Source organism: Homo sapiens, chromosome 5, assembly GCF_000001405.40.
Source record: "Homo sapiens chromosome 5, GRCh38.p14 Primary Assembly".
NCBI lineage: Eukaryota > Metazoa > Chordata > Mammalia > Primates > Hominidae > Homo > Homo sapiens.
The window spans coordinates 95,013,112-95,027,704 of NC_000005.10; the positions used below are offsets into that span (position 1 = coordinate 95,013,112).

General features: G+C 35.5%; 1 protein-coding gene across 55 annotated transcripts in view, besides 1 other annotated feature; it reads right to left on the reverse strand.

Annotated features, from left to right (window-relative positions):
* Window positions 1–14,593, reverse strand: part of MCTP1 (multiple C2 and transmembrane domain containing 1) — a 581,405-nt gene that overhangs the window by 309,422 nt on the left and 257,390 nt on the right. For all 55 annotated transcript variants that reach the window (XM_047417718.1, NM_001393537.1, XM_047417715.1 and 52 more), the window contains one exon: window positions 4,256–4,373. In XM_047417718.1, coding sequence (XP_047273674.1) covers window positions 4,256–4,373 — 118 coding nt within the window. The remainder of the gene's footprint in view (window positions 1–4,255; window positions 4,374–14,593) is intronic.
* Window positions 14,425–14,524: an enhancer, noted in NCBI's record as "active region_22795". NCBI's record gives its function as "activates an Ori minimal core promoter by ATAC-STARR-seq in GM12878 lymphoblastoid cells {active_cell/tissue: GM12878}" and the evidence as "EXISTENCE:reporter gene assay evidence [ECO:0000049][PMID:35858748]".

The following is a 14,593-nucleotide window of genomic DNA, read 5'->3' on the forward strand; positions in this document are numbered from 1 at the left end:
ATAGAAGATCAAACTAGCCACAACGTTCCCTTAAACCAAAGCCTAATCCAGAACAAAGTCCCTAACTCTCTTCAATTCTATGAACAGAGATGAGGGAGCTGCAGAAGAAAAGTTGGAAGCTAGCAGAGATTGGTTCCTGAGGTTTAAGGAAAGAAGCCATCTCTATGACATGAAAGAGCAAGGAGCTGCCACAAGTTATTCAGAAAACCCAGCAAGATAATTGATGACGGTTGCTACACTAAACAACAGATTTTCAATGTAGATGAAACAGCCTTCTATTGGAAGAAGATGCCATCGAGAACTTTCATAGCTAAAGAGGAGAAGTCAATGCGTGGCTTCAAAGCTTCAAAGAACAAGCTGACTCTCATGTTAGGGGCTAATGCAGCTGGTGACCTTAAGTTGATGCCAATGCTCATTTACCATTTTGAAAATCCTAGGGCCCTTAAGAACTATGCTAAATCTACTCTGCCTGTGCCCTATAAATGAAGCCAAAAAGCCTGGATGACAGCATATCTATTTATAGCATGGTTTGCTAAATATTTAGTAGGCCCAATGTTGTGACTTATGGCTCAGAAGAAAAATAATCCTTTTAAAATATTACTGCTTATTGGCAATGCATCTAGTCACCGGAGAGTTCTGATGAAGATGTACAAGGAGATAAGTATTGTTTTCAGTCCTGTTAACACAACATCCATTCTGCAGCCCATCGATCAAGGAGTAATTTCTACTTTCAAGGCTTATAATTTAAGAATACATTCTGTAAGGCTATAGCTGCTATATGTAGTTCCTCTGATAGATCTGGACAAAGCAAATTGCAAACCTTCTGGAAAGGAGTCATCATTCTAGATGCCATAAAGAACATTTCTTGGCTGGGTGCAGTGTCTCATGCTTGTATCCTCAGCAACTTGGGAGTCCAAAGGGGGAAGATCACTTGAAACCAGGAGTTCAAGACCAGCCTGGGCAACATAGTGAGACCACATCTCTACCAAAAAAAAGAAAAAAAATAGCCGGGCATGGCGACACAAACTTGTAGTCCTAGCTACTCATTAGGCTGAGGCGAGAGGGTGCATGAGTTCAGGAGTTGGAGGTTACGGTATGTTTGTGCTACTGCACTCCAGCCTAGGCAACAGAGTAATACCATGTCTCTAAAACAACAACAACAACAAAAAATCCATGATTTATGAGAGGAGGTCAAAATTTCAACATTAACATGGGTTTGGAAGAAGTTGATTTTAACCCTTATGGATGACTTGAGGGTTTGAGGGGTTCAAGACTTCAGTGGAGGAAGTAACTGTAGATGTGGTGAAAATACCAAGAGAACTACAATTAGAAGTGGAGCCTGATGATAATGACTGAATTGCTGCAATCTCATGATAAAATGTGAACAAATGAAGAGCTGTTTCTTATGAATGAGCAGAGAAAGTGGTTTCTTGAGAACGAATCTTCTCATGGTGAAGATGCTGTGAACACTGTTGAAATGTTTGATATTTACCAGTTTTTACTTAACAATTGAATCTATTATTTGTACAGTTCCTAGCCATAAAATACTCCAGTATTATATTAAATTATTTTTCTCTATTTTATTCCTTTAGACAAAAGATTTACAATAGTTCATTGACTTAGTTGATAAAGCAACAGCAGGGTCTGAGATGACTGACTCCAATTTTGAAAGATGCTCTACTGTGGGTAAAGTACTATCAAACAGCATCTCATGCTACAGATAAACCTTTTGTGAAAGGAAGAGTAAATCAATGTGGCAAACTTCATTGTTGTGTAATTTTATGAAATTGCCACAGCCACTCCAACCTTCAACAACCACCACCCTAATCAGTCAGCAGCCATCAACATCGAGGCAAGACCCTCCAACAGCAAAAAGATTATCATTCACAGAAGGCTCAGATGATTGTTAGCATTTTTTTTAGCAATAAAGTATTTTTAAAATTAAGGTACATACATTTTTAGACATGCTTTTTTATGAATAATGCTATTCACACTTAATAGACTACAGTATGGTATATATTATAACTTTTATATGCACTGGGAAATACAAAAATTTGTGTGACTTGCTTTATTGTGATATTTTCTTTATTGTGGTGGTCTGGAACCGAACCTGCAATAGCTCCAAAATAGGCCTGTATGTATAATTCAAATACCCTTTTTCATAGCTACTTCGGTTAGTGGTTTTATTTCTTATCCCCTTAGATGAGATTATTGTTATGGGTTCCTCCCACATCCTGGTTGATTTTAATTATTTATCTATTTTGGGGTGCTAAAATATTGTCATAGTTAAAGACTTTAAATTAATTAAGAAAATTGACTCAGATAAATGCCATTTCCTCTTCATCCCTTTTACCCCATTCCCATCTCCCATTCTTGCCATCTGTTATTTACCTACATTCTGTATGTTACCGATTTCATTAGTTTCTAGCTTTTGATTTCTGTATTTCTTTTGGTAGAAATGAGAAGACAACACACAAATTCTTATGTATTTCTTTCTTACATAGAACGTTGCATATTGTTGATACTCTTTTGTACTTCGCTTATGTGAACTTCACAACACATCCTATACATTTTTCCATATCAATTTCTAGAGATTTTCATTATTTATTTTTACAGCTCCATAGTATTCCGCCATGTAGATATGCCATAGTTTATTCAACCACTCCCCTATTTATGGGTATTTAGATTATTGCCTATATTTTATAATTATAAACAATGCTACAATAAATTATTGTATATATATGCATTTCAAATTGCTGGGGGCATATGTAGGACTAAAATTTTGATCTTCTGTTGCCAAGTCCAATTCTGTTTTAGATTGAATGATATAACTGAGAGTACTTTGAAAACTAAAAAAAGTTGTATACGCTGTAAATATAGCAAAATAATACTTTGTTATTTGCATTATTTTCTTTATCTAATTTGTGTCTTCTTTGGAAACAGGCAGTTCAATTCAATAAACATGTGTCCTTAGCTACTAAACCAGACAGTTATTTTGAAAACGTCTCCTATCTTTTTAAATTCTAATATTATCAATCACATATTTCCTCACTAAGAATGTCTTTTTAAACTTTTTTTAATGTTTTGTAGAGACAAGCTCTCACTGTGTTGCCAGGCTGGTCTCAAGCTCCTGGCCTCAAGTAATCCTCCCATGTCGGCCTCCCAAAATGCTGGGATTACAGGAATGAGCCACCACACCCAGACAAGAATGTTTGATATTTGCTAGTTTTTACTTAACAATTGAATCTAATATTTGCACAGTTCCTAGTCAAACAATACTCTAGTATTATATTAAATTATTTTTCTCTATTTTATTCCTTTAGATATAGGAGACAAATTAAAATTGCAGCCCTAATCTGGTTCCTTCTATTCCCTAAATATGACGTCAAATAGGGTAGGAGGAACAAAACAGGATCCTATGGTGCCAGAAGCACTCTCAGGGTTGTCTGACAATGAGTTAGCAAGGCCTGGGGACTCTCCTTCCTCCTGGCAGGAGGAGTTACATCCAAACTCAGCCTCCTTTGGAATTGGGGGCTCTCAGGGCCCTCAACGTATCCACCTCCTGCAGCGCTCATATTCAAAATGTGCAAAGGATGCTATACAGCCTATCTGGGGTCTATTCTTGGTCCTGCCTCTATCCTGGGTTCAAGAAATCCCTCATGTGGCCTATCCTCGTTCATCAAGAGATTGCATTGGGATTTGGAATCCGGGAACTTAAGAGTATTTGCCTTATCTTATCCTTCGTCATGCCCTACAAAATGTGTTTAATCCACCATGAGACTACTGCCAGATCTGACCAGGCCTCAAAAGATCACTTCTTAGGAATCTCTGAAGTTTTGGAGAGATATTAGTCCTGGGTCCTGCAATGTGAGCAGATTCAACTGAGCAAATGTATATAGCAAAAAGAATTTCAGGTCTACCAAAAGGTAAGTTCTGACATGGCTTCAAATATATGCCTCACTTATGTAACCAATTATGTCAGTAATTACATATGATATAGAGTCTAATTTGTCAGCAGTTTGATAGGGACTTTGCTGTCTGGGTTGAGAATAAGTCAGAGTTTTGGAACTTGCATCAAAACGTCTTCCACCATGGTCACAGGAGTCAAGTAATGTGTCAAACTGTGTCTTTGAATTCAAGCTTCTAAAAATTATATTCTAGTTAATTTTTTATAACTCAGGCAATCACGTGGAAAACAAAGTTTGTCATAAACACATAAAAAAGCTTCTAGGTGATATTGCTCTTATGCTCTTACCTCCTCGATCTCGAGCAGCTAAACTTTGACCCCTTCTTAATGTAATGTCCAGCTGGTACATTCCGGGATCAGCCAAGGGGACTTCTGCATTACTGGTTCCAGCAGTGTTTATTATTTTCTGGAAAACACGAAATATAAAAAATATTAAATTTATTATCTCTGTTCTATTTTCTCTAAAGGGGGACCATATATAGCTTAACCCAAATTATAAGAATTAGTCAATAAAATAAATAATCTTCTGATTTCATACAGTCTCATAATCACTCAGTTCTCTGAAGGTTTTGAAATTTATGAAATTCTTTAGACTCAAAAACATGGCAGTTACAGAAATGTCCTGTTTTAATTCAGATTATGGATAACAAATGGAATATAAAAACATTTCCCATGGAAGTCTCCACACAATTCAACTAAGAAATATGAACATAGAAATACTGTCTGAAGTGAAAACATAATCAATGATGAGTGGAGAATAAGAGTGCAAGAGCAGTTGAGTTCTACCTAACTGGAAATTAAAATTAAAATGATTGATTCAGGTGACTGCTGACTCATTTATCTGTGCAGAACAGCTCATACCTATGAATTAAGCACTTCTGCTTCAGCCCCAACATAAAATTTAATTATATAGAAATAAATTCACCTAGCATTTTGGCAATATTTGCAAGAAATATATTCTCGATGGGGCTAAATTTCTAGTGCTGTTTTCTATGGAATAAAAGTACATCAGCTATTCCTAGATCTAAAAATGTTTGTGAGCCTGCCTCTATAGAATTTATTTTTAGCAACAATATACTCTTAATAATTTACTAGGCATCGAATTACAAGAGGAATAATGATATTAAAACAACACAAATGAAACATGTAGTAAAAATTCTTGAGGTCATATTTTGTAGTCTCTGCCACTCTATACAATAGGAAAGCTTTTCTTTGTGTGTTTGGGATTAATTTAAATTCTTATAATTTTTTTTTCTGATTCAAAAGGAAATGTCCTTTTGTCTCAGAATATGCATGGATGAGGTAAAATAACAGACAACAGTCTTTTAATTCCATAATTCACATAAAATGAAACAATAAAGCAGCATTTAAACAATCTTTACGGTATATAATTCACATACCCTACATTTGTTCGTTAAAGCAGCATTTTTTTTTTTTGAGGTTTTAAGACCAAGGCAAATAGCTTTGCTGTTGGAGCAATTATTAGTTAAAACAAGAGGCAGCACAGCTTTGATTGACAACCTGAACTCACTGTCTCTCCTCTGGTAACAATAAAAAAGAATTCACTCCACCTTCTCATGATATCCTTGTTTCTATAAATGATTCCTCAGTCACTCAGCCTAGAAATCGCTGAGCCATCTTTGACTTCTTCATTTGATTCCCACCCACATCCAAATAGTTGTCAAATCCCCCCACTCCATCTCTGTATGACATCTCCCAATTGTCTTTTTCTTTCAATTCCTATTACCACTCATTTGGATCAGGCCTTCAAACAACAAAGGAGTAAAAAGTAAAGTGATTGTCTTGCTCTTCCCTTACCCATCTGATTGTGGCCACCAATGACAACAATTTGGGAAATATTTTTCACACTTTTAAAAGTCTTATGCAAACATAAACACATACATATAGGTTTGGTTTTTTGTGGTTGGGCTTTCAGTTTTCACTAGTTTTAAACAAAGATAGTATTCTATTTTGTCTATTATCAACAATTTCTAGAAAAACATCATGGGCACTTTTCTAGTCAATACATACAGATCTTTCTCTTTCAAATGTTCTAACTTTATTGAGCCATAATTGACAAAATTGTATGATTTTATGATATACAACATGATGATTCAATATACATACGTTTTGTACATTGATTACCACAATCAAGTTAGTTAACACATCTTTCACCTCACTTGTTTACCCTTTTGTTTTGTTTTGTGGTGAGGACATTGAAGCGAATTTCAAGTATACAATTCAGTACTGTTAACCATAGTCACCACGCTGTGTATTGGATCCCCTGAACTTACTCATCTTACAGCTGAAAGTCTGTACTCTTTGGCCAACATCTCCTCTTTTCCTTCCACGCCCCCACCCCTAGTAACCACTTTTTTTTCTGAGACACAATATTTTTTCCCAGTGTAGGAATAGCATAATTTCTTCCATTATTTTCCTATTGATGGACATTTGTGTTAGTTTCTTTGTTTGCCACAGAGGACTGGTGCTTTCATTTCTCTTGAAAAAGTTTACAGAATGAATTTTTCCAAAAGGTTTTCCAAAAGGTTTACATAATTCACGCTTCTATCAAAAGTGTACAAGAGTGCCTATTTTCCACACCTTAGTCAGTCTAGGATGTTACTAATTGTTCTAATTTTTTTCAAGTTTAGGGCACAAAACATGTTATCTTCCTTCAGCACATATTTCCAGAACTATGGGTGAGGAGTCTTGAAACCAGTGTAAAGGACAAGAGCGTGACAGCTGTTCACTAAGCCATACAGAAGATTCCAACTTGGAAAGAAAGGAAGCCAATCAAGATTTTCTAAACAACTTTTCAAAGAACAGTGTATACGTGGGTCTAATTAATAAGCAAGATTTAAATTCAGACCCAGCAAACTTTGTTGAGGTCCAATTGTGTTTCAAGCTTTTCATTAGGTTCTTTTATACACATTGTTTCCAAATAAACAAATCTATTCATAAATATTAAGCTTATATAGGTTTTCTACTTCGTAAAAAATGGAATAAAATCTGCAGGAAAAGGAGAATTTTCTACATGCCCTGCATCTTCCTCTACTGTTTTGACAGGTATTCTAAAGCCAGAAAAATTTGAAGGCTCAGACAGCTGTATATTCTGTAGTCTTCATTGCTATGTTCAGTGCTTCTTGAAGTTTAGCATGCATAGAATTTGTAGAGTATCAGGTTTTATATTTTCAAATATGTATTATACTTTATGTGCAGGTTAAGGAATTTCCAAAGATAATTTTAACTACACTAGATTTTTCACTTCTGCAGTTTCAGAATTTAACATTTAGTTAAGACATAACTTCTCCGGACTTATATTTATTTGCTGTAGTCATTTCCTCTTCTACAAACTTCTAATTTATATCCTTTGTTCTCTTTTCTGCTGTGTTGTTAGTCTTTTTTAAAATGGCATATAGAACAGTTTCTCTACCAAATCTATTGCAAATATTTCCTCCCAGTGTCATCTTGTTTCTTTGATCTTTGTAGATGGTATATGTGGTCATATAGAAACTATTAAGCAGTTAAAGCTGTCCTTTTTTCCCCTCTAATGACTTCTGTATTTCTTATCTTGCCTGATAATGTTTTCCATATCATGGCAATATGTATTGATTCTCATATATTTTAAAATTCCTTTTATAATTTTTAAGTTTTATGTATCTTCTAATCATGTGAAATATATTTTAAGTGTACTGCGTGAAATAGGAACCTATGTGTTTTCTTAGTTCTCACCTGGAATTGTAACACTGCCCATTAAATAAGCCCTTTTTCCCTTTATAATACATTAAGTTCCCATATACAGTTGGATCTGTTTCTGAAGTCCCCATGATCTGCTTACTTCTGTGTCAATACTATACCATGTGATTACAATGACTTTAAATTCTAATATTTGTTAGAATATGTAGCTCCCTTCTTTCTTGTTTTTCAAAAGCTTCTTGATTATTATCGCATTTGTATTCTTCCTGATGAAGCCAAAATAGCTTGCTGGTTTAGCTGAGCCAGACCATCTAGGTTCGAATCCTGCCACTTACTAATTGTGTGAGCTTGAGAAATTACATAACTGATTTTTGCTTCCATTTTCTTACCTGTAAAGTGGGACTAAACTAATACTACTACCTCCTTGTCAGGTTGTGAGCATTAACGCATATAAGATGTTAAAATATTGCCTGGCTGGTTTGTTATTTACTACTGGGTGAAAAAATAAAAAATAAAAACAAATAGTGCTTGGCACATAGTAAGCACTCAATAAATGTTAGCTATTGTCAGTTTCCAAAAATGAAACAAAAAGTACAAAATTTTGATTTGAACTGCATTGAGTTTCTAGATTAACAGGAATAATTTATAATTTCATGATATTAAGTATTTTCCTTTAAGGAAAATAGAACTTTCCATCATTTCAGGTTCTGTTGTATGCCCTTCAATACAATCTTATTTTTCTTCTTTCGTCTCTATCTAGCTTAATTTATTCTTGGGTATTTTATGGGTTTTGTTTCTATTGTAAAAGGAATAATTCTTTTCCATTTCCATTCTGATAAGGTTATTTCTAGTATAATGGACAAATATTATTTTGTATACTGACTTTATATTCTGTCACTTTTCAAGTCATATTTTGGGTTGTCTGTGTATAGAAATCATATTGTCTGTATATAATGCCTTTTTGACTCTTATTTTCTAATACTTCAATTATTTATTTTTAAATCTTATTGTGTTATCTTCTAAAGACTGTGAAAAATGGTGAAAACAGTGAACATTTCTGAATTAGATTTGATTATAATGTGCATGCCTTTTAGTATTTCACAATTTAACATGATGTTTATGAAGCTTAGGCTTTTTCTTCTCTTAATTTACTTGTGCTTTAAAAAAAGCACTGCTGAATTTTATCAATAGATTTTCAGCATATGTTAATAAGATCATACAGAATTTTTGGTTGATAGATTTTTGTAACATTGAATCATCTTCATATTTCCAGAGTAGACTCTACTTGGCACTGTGAATTTGTTCACTCTAATGTACAATCATGATTATGTTCAAAACCATCTATCATATGTCAGCATACTTGAGTATACCCGTACTTCTTAGGAAGGCACTCATAGCTCCCATGATATATTAGGTTGGTGCAAAAGCAATTGTGGTTTCTACCATTACTTTCAATGCAATTACTTTTGCACCAACCTAACTGAAGCCTATCATTATAAACTGAGCCTTCACTTCTCTTCCACAAATTCTGGATCATTTTTCCTTAACAGAATAGAACTTACACTTTAAAAACTTGTATCTTCGTCCTTCACTCTTGACCAGGGCTGCCTTCCCTTCTTGTTTCCCGTGTCTTTCTACCCAGTCTTCAAGGACCATTTCACTAGCACTTTATATCTTTATTTTCCATTACCACATTCTATCTCAAATGTCATATTTGTCATTTTAAATTATGAACCTTTAAAATCATGGAATAGAGTATTTAAGCTTCAAATTGAAAATGAATTATGCTAGAGGCTACAAGGATAGAAAGATATCTTTACGAGCACCTGATCCAGCTGAGTAGAAACATCAATGGGAATCTAAATAAAGTTGGCGAATCCATGGGCAGTTTGTTCTCTCTCTTCTCCTACACTCATGTAATGCATCCAATCTGCTTTGGCACCCTGTTTGAGGAACCCAGGTATACCCTTAGAATCCTTCTCAATACAGTGCTCTAGGCAGCCATTACCAACTGATAAAAATTAGCACTTAAAATGAAACCCTGTCCATTCAGGAGCTATAATAAAAGACTGACTGTAATATACTGAAGGTATGAAGTCATTGGGAGAGAAGGACAGTGGATCAATTATGATGGGAGAAGACTCTCAGGAGGCCTCATAAAGATAACCATGGAGCAGGGTCTGAAAATATGTGCAGGACTTTGACAAGTGAAGATTTGGAAGGAGGGAGCATCAGAAAAAATCAACATGAGCCCGATGGTAAGCAATCATCAAAAAGCGCATCACTAGATTGTATGAGAAATAAGGTGGAAAGGAAGACTGATATACAGTGAGGCCCAGCTAAGGAGGTTTCACTCTGTGGGCAACATGAAACCATCACAGGCTTTTGAAGACAGAAACAATAGAACCAGGCTCCAGTGAACACACACTTACTGCCTTACATGTTTTATGCTCTGGGCCAAATGCTTAGATTTCAGCAATGAGCAAAACCCTGGCCTTTTCCCTCTGTAAGAGGGATGAGAGTAGAGAAATCCCATGGTTCTAGAAATTATTTAAAAGGATTTACAACTGTTCAGTTTAAGTCACAAGAGCTTGATCTGACCAGTGGTAACAAAAACAAAAGATGGATTTGAGAGTTTGAAGAGATTCTATCAACTGAATTTGCCAACTGACAAGATGTGGGAAACAGTGGGTGAGTCACACAGAAGTTTGAGCTGCGCTCCTGGGAGGATGGTGACACCCACGGTAGACAGCAGAAATGAGAGGAGAAGCAACTCCAGGCCACCACTCTGTCAGCTCCAGGGATCGCCCAACTCCATAAAAGAACATCAAGAACTTTAGTGGATCTAGAGAGACATCTCCTTTCAGGCCCACTATAGTGGTTCCAAGAAGAAAATCAGCAGGCTGATTATGGAGGGATGCTAGAAATAAATGTGTATTTCTTTATTGTAAAGTATCTTTAAAAAAGTGTTCATGAAGCTTCCAAACATAAAGATATCTTAGGAAATATGTATCTGAAGTGCTAGGCTCACATATATTAAAAGCTCTAAAACAAACTTGGTTCACCTCTGAAATTTTAAATATCCTGAATGATATATCTAAGTTGTCTGCTCTTGTGGTCTGCTTTTTGTAACCAAGAAAATGGCACTTTCACAGAATTTAGCAGTTATAAGAAGTTAATGATCTGTGCAGTTATTTTTAGTGCCTTCGTCTATTTTGGACACTAGTTCCTTGTTGGATGTATGACTTGCAAATATTTTGTCCTAATCTACGGATGGTCTTTTCCCTGTTAATTGTTTTCTTTGTTGTGCAGAAGCTTTTCAATTTGATGCAATCCCATTTGTCTATTTTTGCTTTTGTTGCCTCTGCTTTTGGGGTCTTATCAAAGAAATCACTTCCAAGACCAATGTCACAGAGCTTTCCTTGATTTTTTTCTTCTGGTAGTTTTACAATTTCAGGTCTTATGCTTAAGTCTTTAATCCATTTTGAGTTGATTTTTGTATAAAGAGTGAGATAAGAGTCTAAAAACGATATGGCATATCAATAAATGTGGCTCACCATATTCAAAGAATCAAGGCCAAAAACCACCTTATAATCTCAATGGATATATGAAAAGCATTTGACAAAATTCAACATTCTTTTGTGATAAAAGCTCTCAACAAATTAGTTATATAAGGACTGTTTCTCAACACAGTAAACACCATATATGACAAGTCCATAGCTAACATCATGCTCAACACTGAAAATTTGAAGGCTTTTCCTCTAAGATCAGAAACAAGACAAGGATACCCACTTTCAACACCCCTATTCAACGTAGTACTAGAAGTCCTAGCCAAGGCAATTAGGCAAGAGAAAGAAATGAAAGGCATTCAAATACACACACACACACACACACACACACACACCCCTAAATGCCATCCCAAACTGTTAGAATTGATAATGGAATTCATTAAAGTTGCAGGAGACAAAATCAACTTACAAAAACCAGTGGTATTTCCATATGCCAACAACAAACTATCTGAAAAAGAAATTAAGAAAACAATCCTATTTACAATATCATAAAAAATACTTAGGAGTAGGTTAATCAAGAAGGTGAAAGATCTGTGTATTAAAAACTATAGAACATTGATGGGAGATATTGAAGATGACACACAAGAAAGGAAGGATTGTACATATTCATGGATTAGGAGAATTAGTATTGTTAAAATGTCCATACTAATCAATGGGATCTACAGATTCAATGCAATCTCTATCATAATTTCAATGACGTTATTCACAGAAATAGAATAAATAATCTAAAATTTGTATGAAGTCATAGACAACCCTGAATGACCAAAGCCATCTTCAGTGAAAAGAACGAAGCTAGAGGCATCACACTATCAGATTTCAAAATCGATTACAAAGTGATAATAATCAAAACAACGAGGTACTGACATAAAAATAGACATACTAACAAATGAAATAAAACAAAGAGCCCAGAAATAAACTGATACATTTATGATCAATTGAGTTTTGATAGAGGTGTCAAGAATACACAATGGGGAAAGTACAGTCTCTTTAATAAATGGAGTTGGAAAAACTATATATCCACCTGCAGACAATGAAAAAAGCTCAAAATTGAAAATTCAGAGTTCTAGGCACAGTTTGAAAATTAAGAAGTTTCTATGGTAATACTCAAAAGTTTGGGGGCTAAAGCCAAAAATCAGATGCAAAGTACAAAGTTTTAAGTTGCAGATTATAACACAGGATAAATTCACAGCCTTATCAGGTCACTTACAGGAAAGTCAGAAAAAATCATGGAAGAGTAGTTAATAACAAGAGCATTCACATCTTCTATCTCAGCAAGCCACCATTTTTGCAGAAGGCCTTCTTGTCTTGCTTGAACTGGAGTCATTACCATACATGGTGATGCCAAATTTCCTTATGCTCAACTCCTCCTTCCCTCATTTTAGATAGACTAGTGGCTCTGGCTGGACTTCAGGAATCTGAGGGTAGGACCCAGCCTGATAATCAATTTTTCTTTTCCCAACAGCCCCTCAAGTAATTTCAATATGCAGACTAGCTTGATCCTTGTGCCAGTTATAGAAGCAAGTCTTTGTGAAAACTATGCACAAAGATTCTCCAGACTTTTCTTATAGATATCATGAAACACCTGAGTAATATGTGTGGGAATCAACAGAAGGGTCCCAGTGACTTTAGGCTCTGCTGCTTGGGAGGTCTTTTTATATAAATAAAGAGAGCTTCCACCAGAAGATATAAAGGTGCTGGTAAAATCGAAGTCGGGAATGCCTCCTGACCTTTTTGAAATTTTCATTACAGGAAAAAATAAAGGGTTTACTCTGTTAGCTGGCATGATTGATTCTTTTAATTTTTAATTTTAATTTTTAATTTTTGTGGGTACATAGTATATATGTATTTATGGGTTTCATGAGATATTTTGATACAGACATGCAATGCATTATAATTTCATCAGGTTAAATGGGATACTCATCACCTCAAGCATTTACCCTTTGCGTTACATACAATCCAATTATATACCTTTAGTACTTTAAAATGTACAATTAAATTATTTTTTACTACAGTCACCCTGTTGTGCTGGCAAATTCTAGATCTTATTCATTCTTTCTAACTACTTTTTGTACCCATTAACCCTCCGCTCTTCCCCTCAACCCCCAACTACCCTTCCCACTCTCTGGTAACCATCCTTCTACTCTCTATCTCCATTGTTTTAATTTTTAGCTCCCACAAGTAAGTGAGACCATGCAAAGTTTGTCTTTCTGTGCCCGGCTTATTTCGCTTAACAAAATGATCTCCAATTCCCTCCATTTTGTTGCAAATCACAGAATCTCATTCTTATTATCAATTAAAAAGCAGGAGGTTTATTGTAGCACTGTACAGTGGGGGAGGGGTATGCCTGGCTTCTAGGGAATTTCCTGGTGTGCTCTTAGTATTACCATGCCAAGTGGATTGTAGATTGGTTACATTATTCCATAAATGTTTCATACACTCAGGCCATGATCACTGCAGATCTAACTTTGTCTGTCAATAAAGCCCACTTAAAGTTAAAACTTCGTGACAGATATTCAATTTTCGACTTTTAAAATTTAGCAATGTTGTCAAAGATATCATTGAAGATTTCTACTTAGTCATGACCAGTTTCTACTTAGTCATCTCTTCTACTTTCTATGACACTGAAAACATGTGTACAGTCTATGACACTGAAAACCTGTACAGTGAAATATCCATTAAGTGGAAATCAAAGCTTTTTAAAACCTAATTTTCAAAAACAGAATTCAAAAGCCACAGAGATATTCAAAGTTCAATGAAGCTCAAGTATCTGTCAAGGAAACACTATGATTATCTGGAAGTCAATTGATTAAGTGACTTTAAAGACCTTACACAGAATGGGAAAAATTATGGCAAATAATGGGTGCACCCCACTACGTATGTCAGCCGTGGTGTCTAATTTACAGCCGCAATGGAAAGAAAAGCTTATGCTTGGTTCCAAGTAAATGTAAATCCCTTGCCCCTTGCTCATAGCTGATTAGACATGAGCTGGGTGTCTAAACTAAGGGCAGACAGTGAGCAGGCTGGCTGGTGCCAGGTTGTTATTTAGCAGAGAGCATTAGTAGGCAAAGATGATTAGAATGAATTTCAGAGAGAAGAAAAAGTTAACAGTAGCTGCTAAGCTGAAGAGTCATAATAAAGAAGCTGGAGAGGCCAGAAGGCCACGTGTAACCTCAAGTCAGGAAACAGATGCTATAATTAGCAGAAGTATGGGGTGGAAAACTACATATAGTAGAGGGTGGAGTGTGACATTGTAACAGGGCATACAGACACAGACCAAGCAACCAAAGCACAGTAATGACAATATTGGACAGGAGAGTGAAGATCTATGAGCTCCCACTGCTGAAAGCCTGAAGTACGTCTG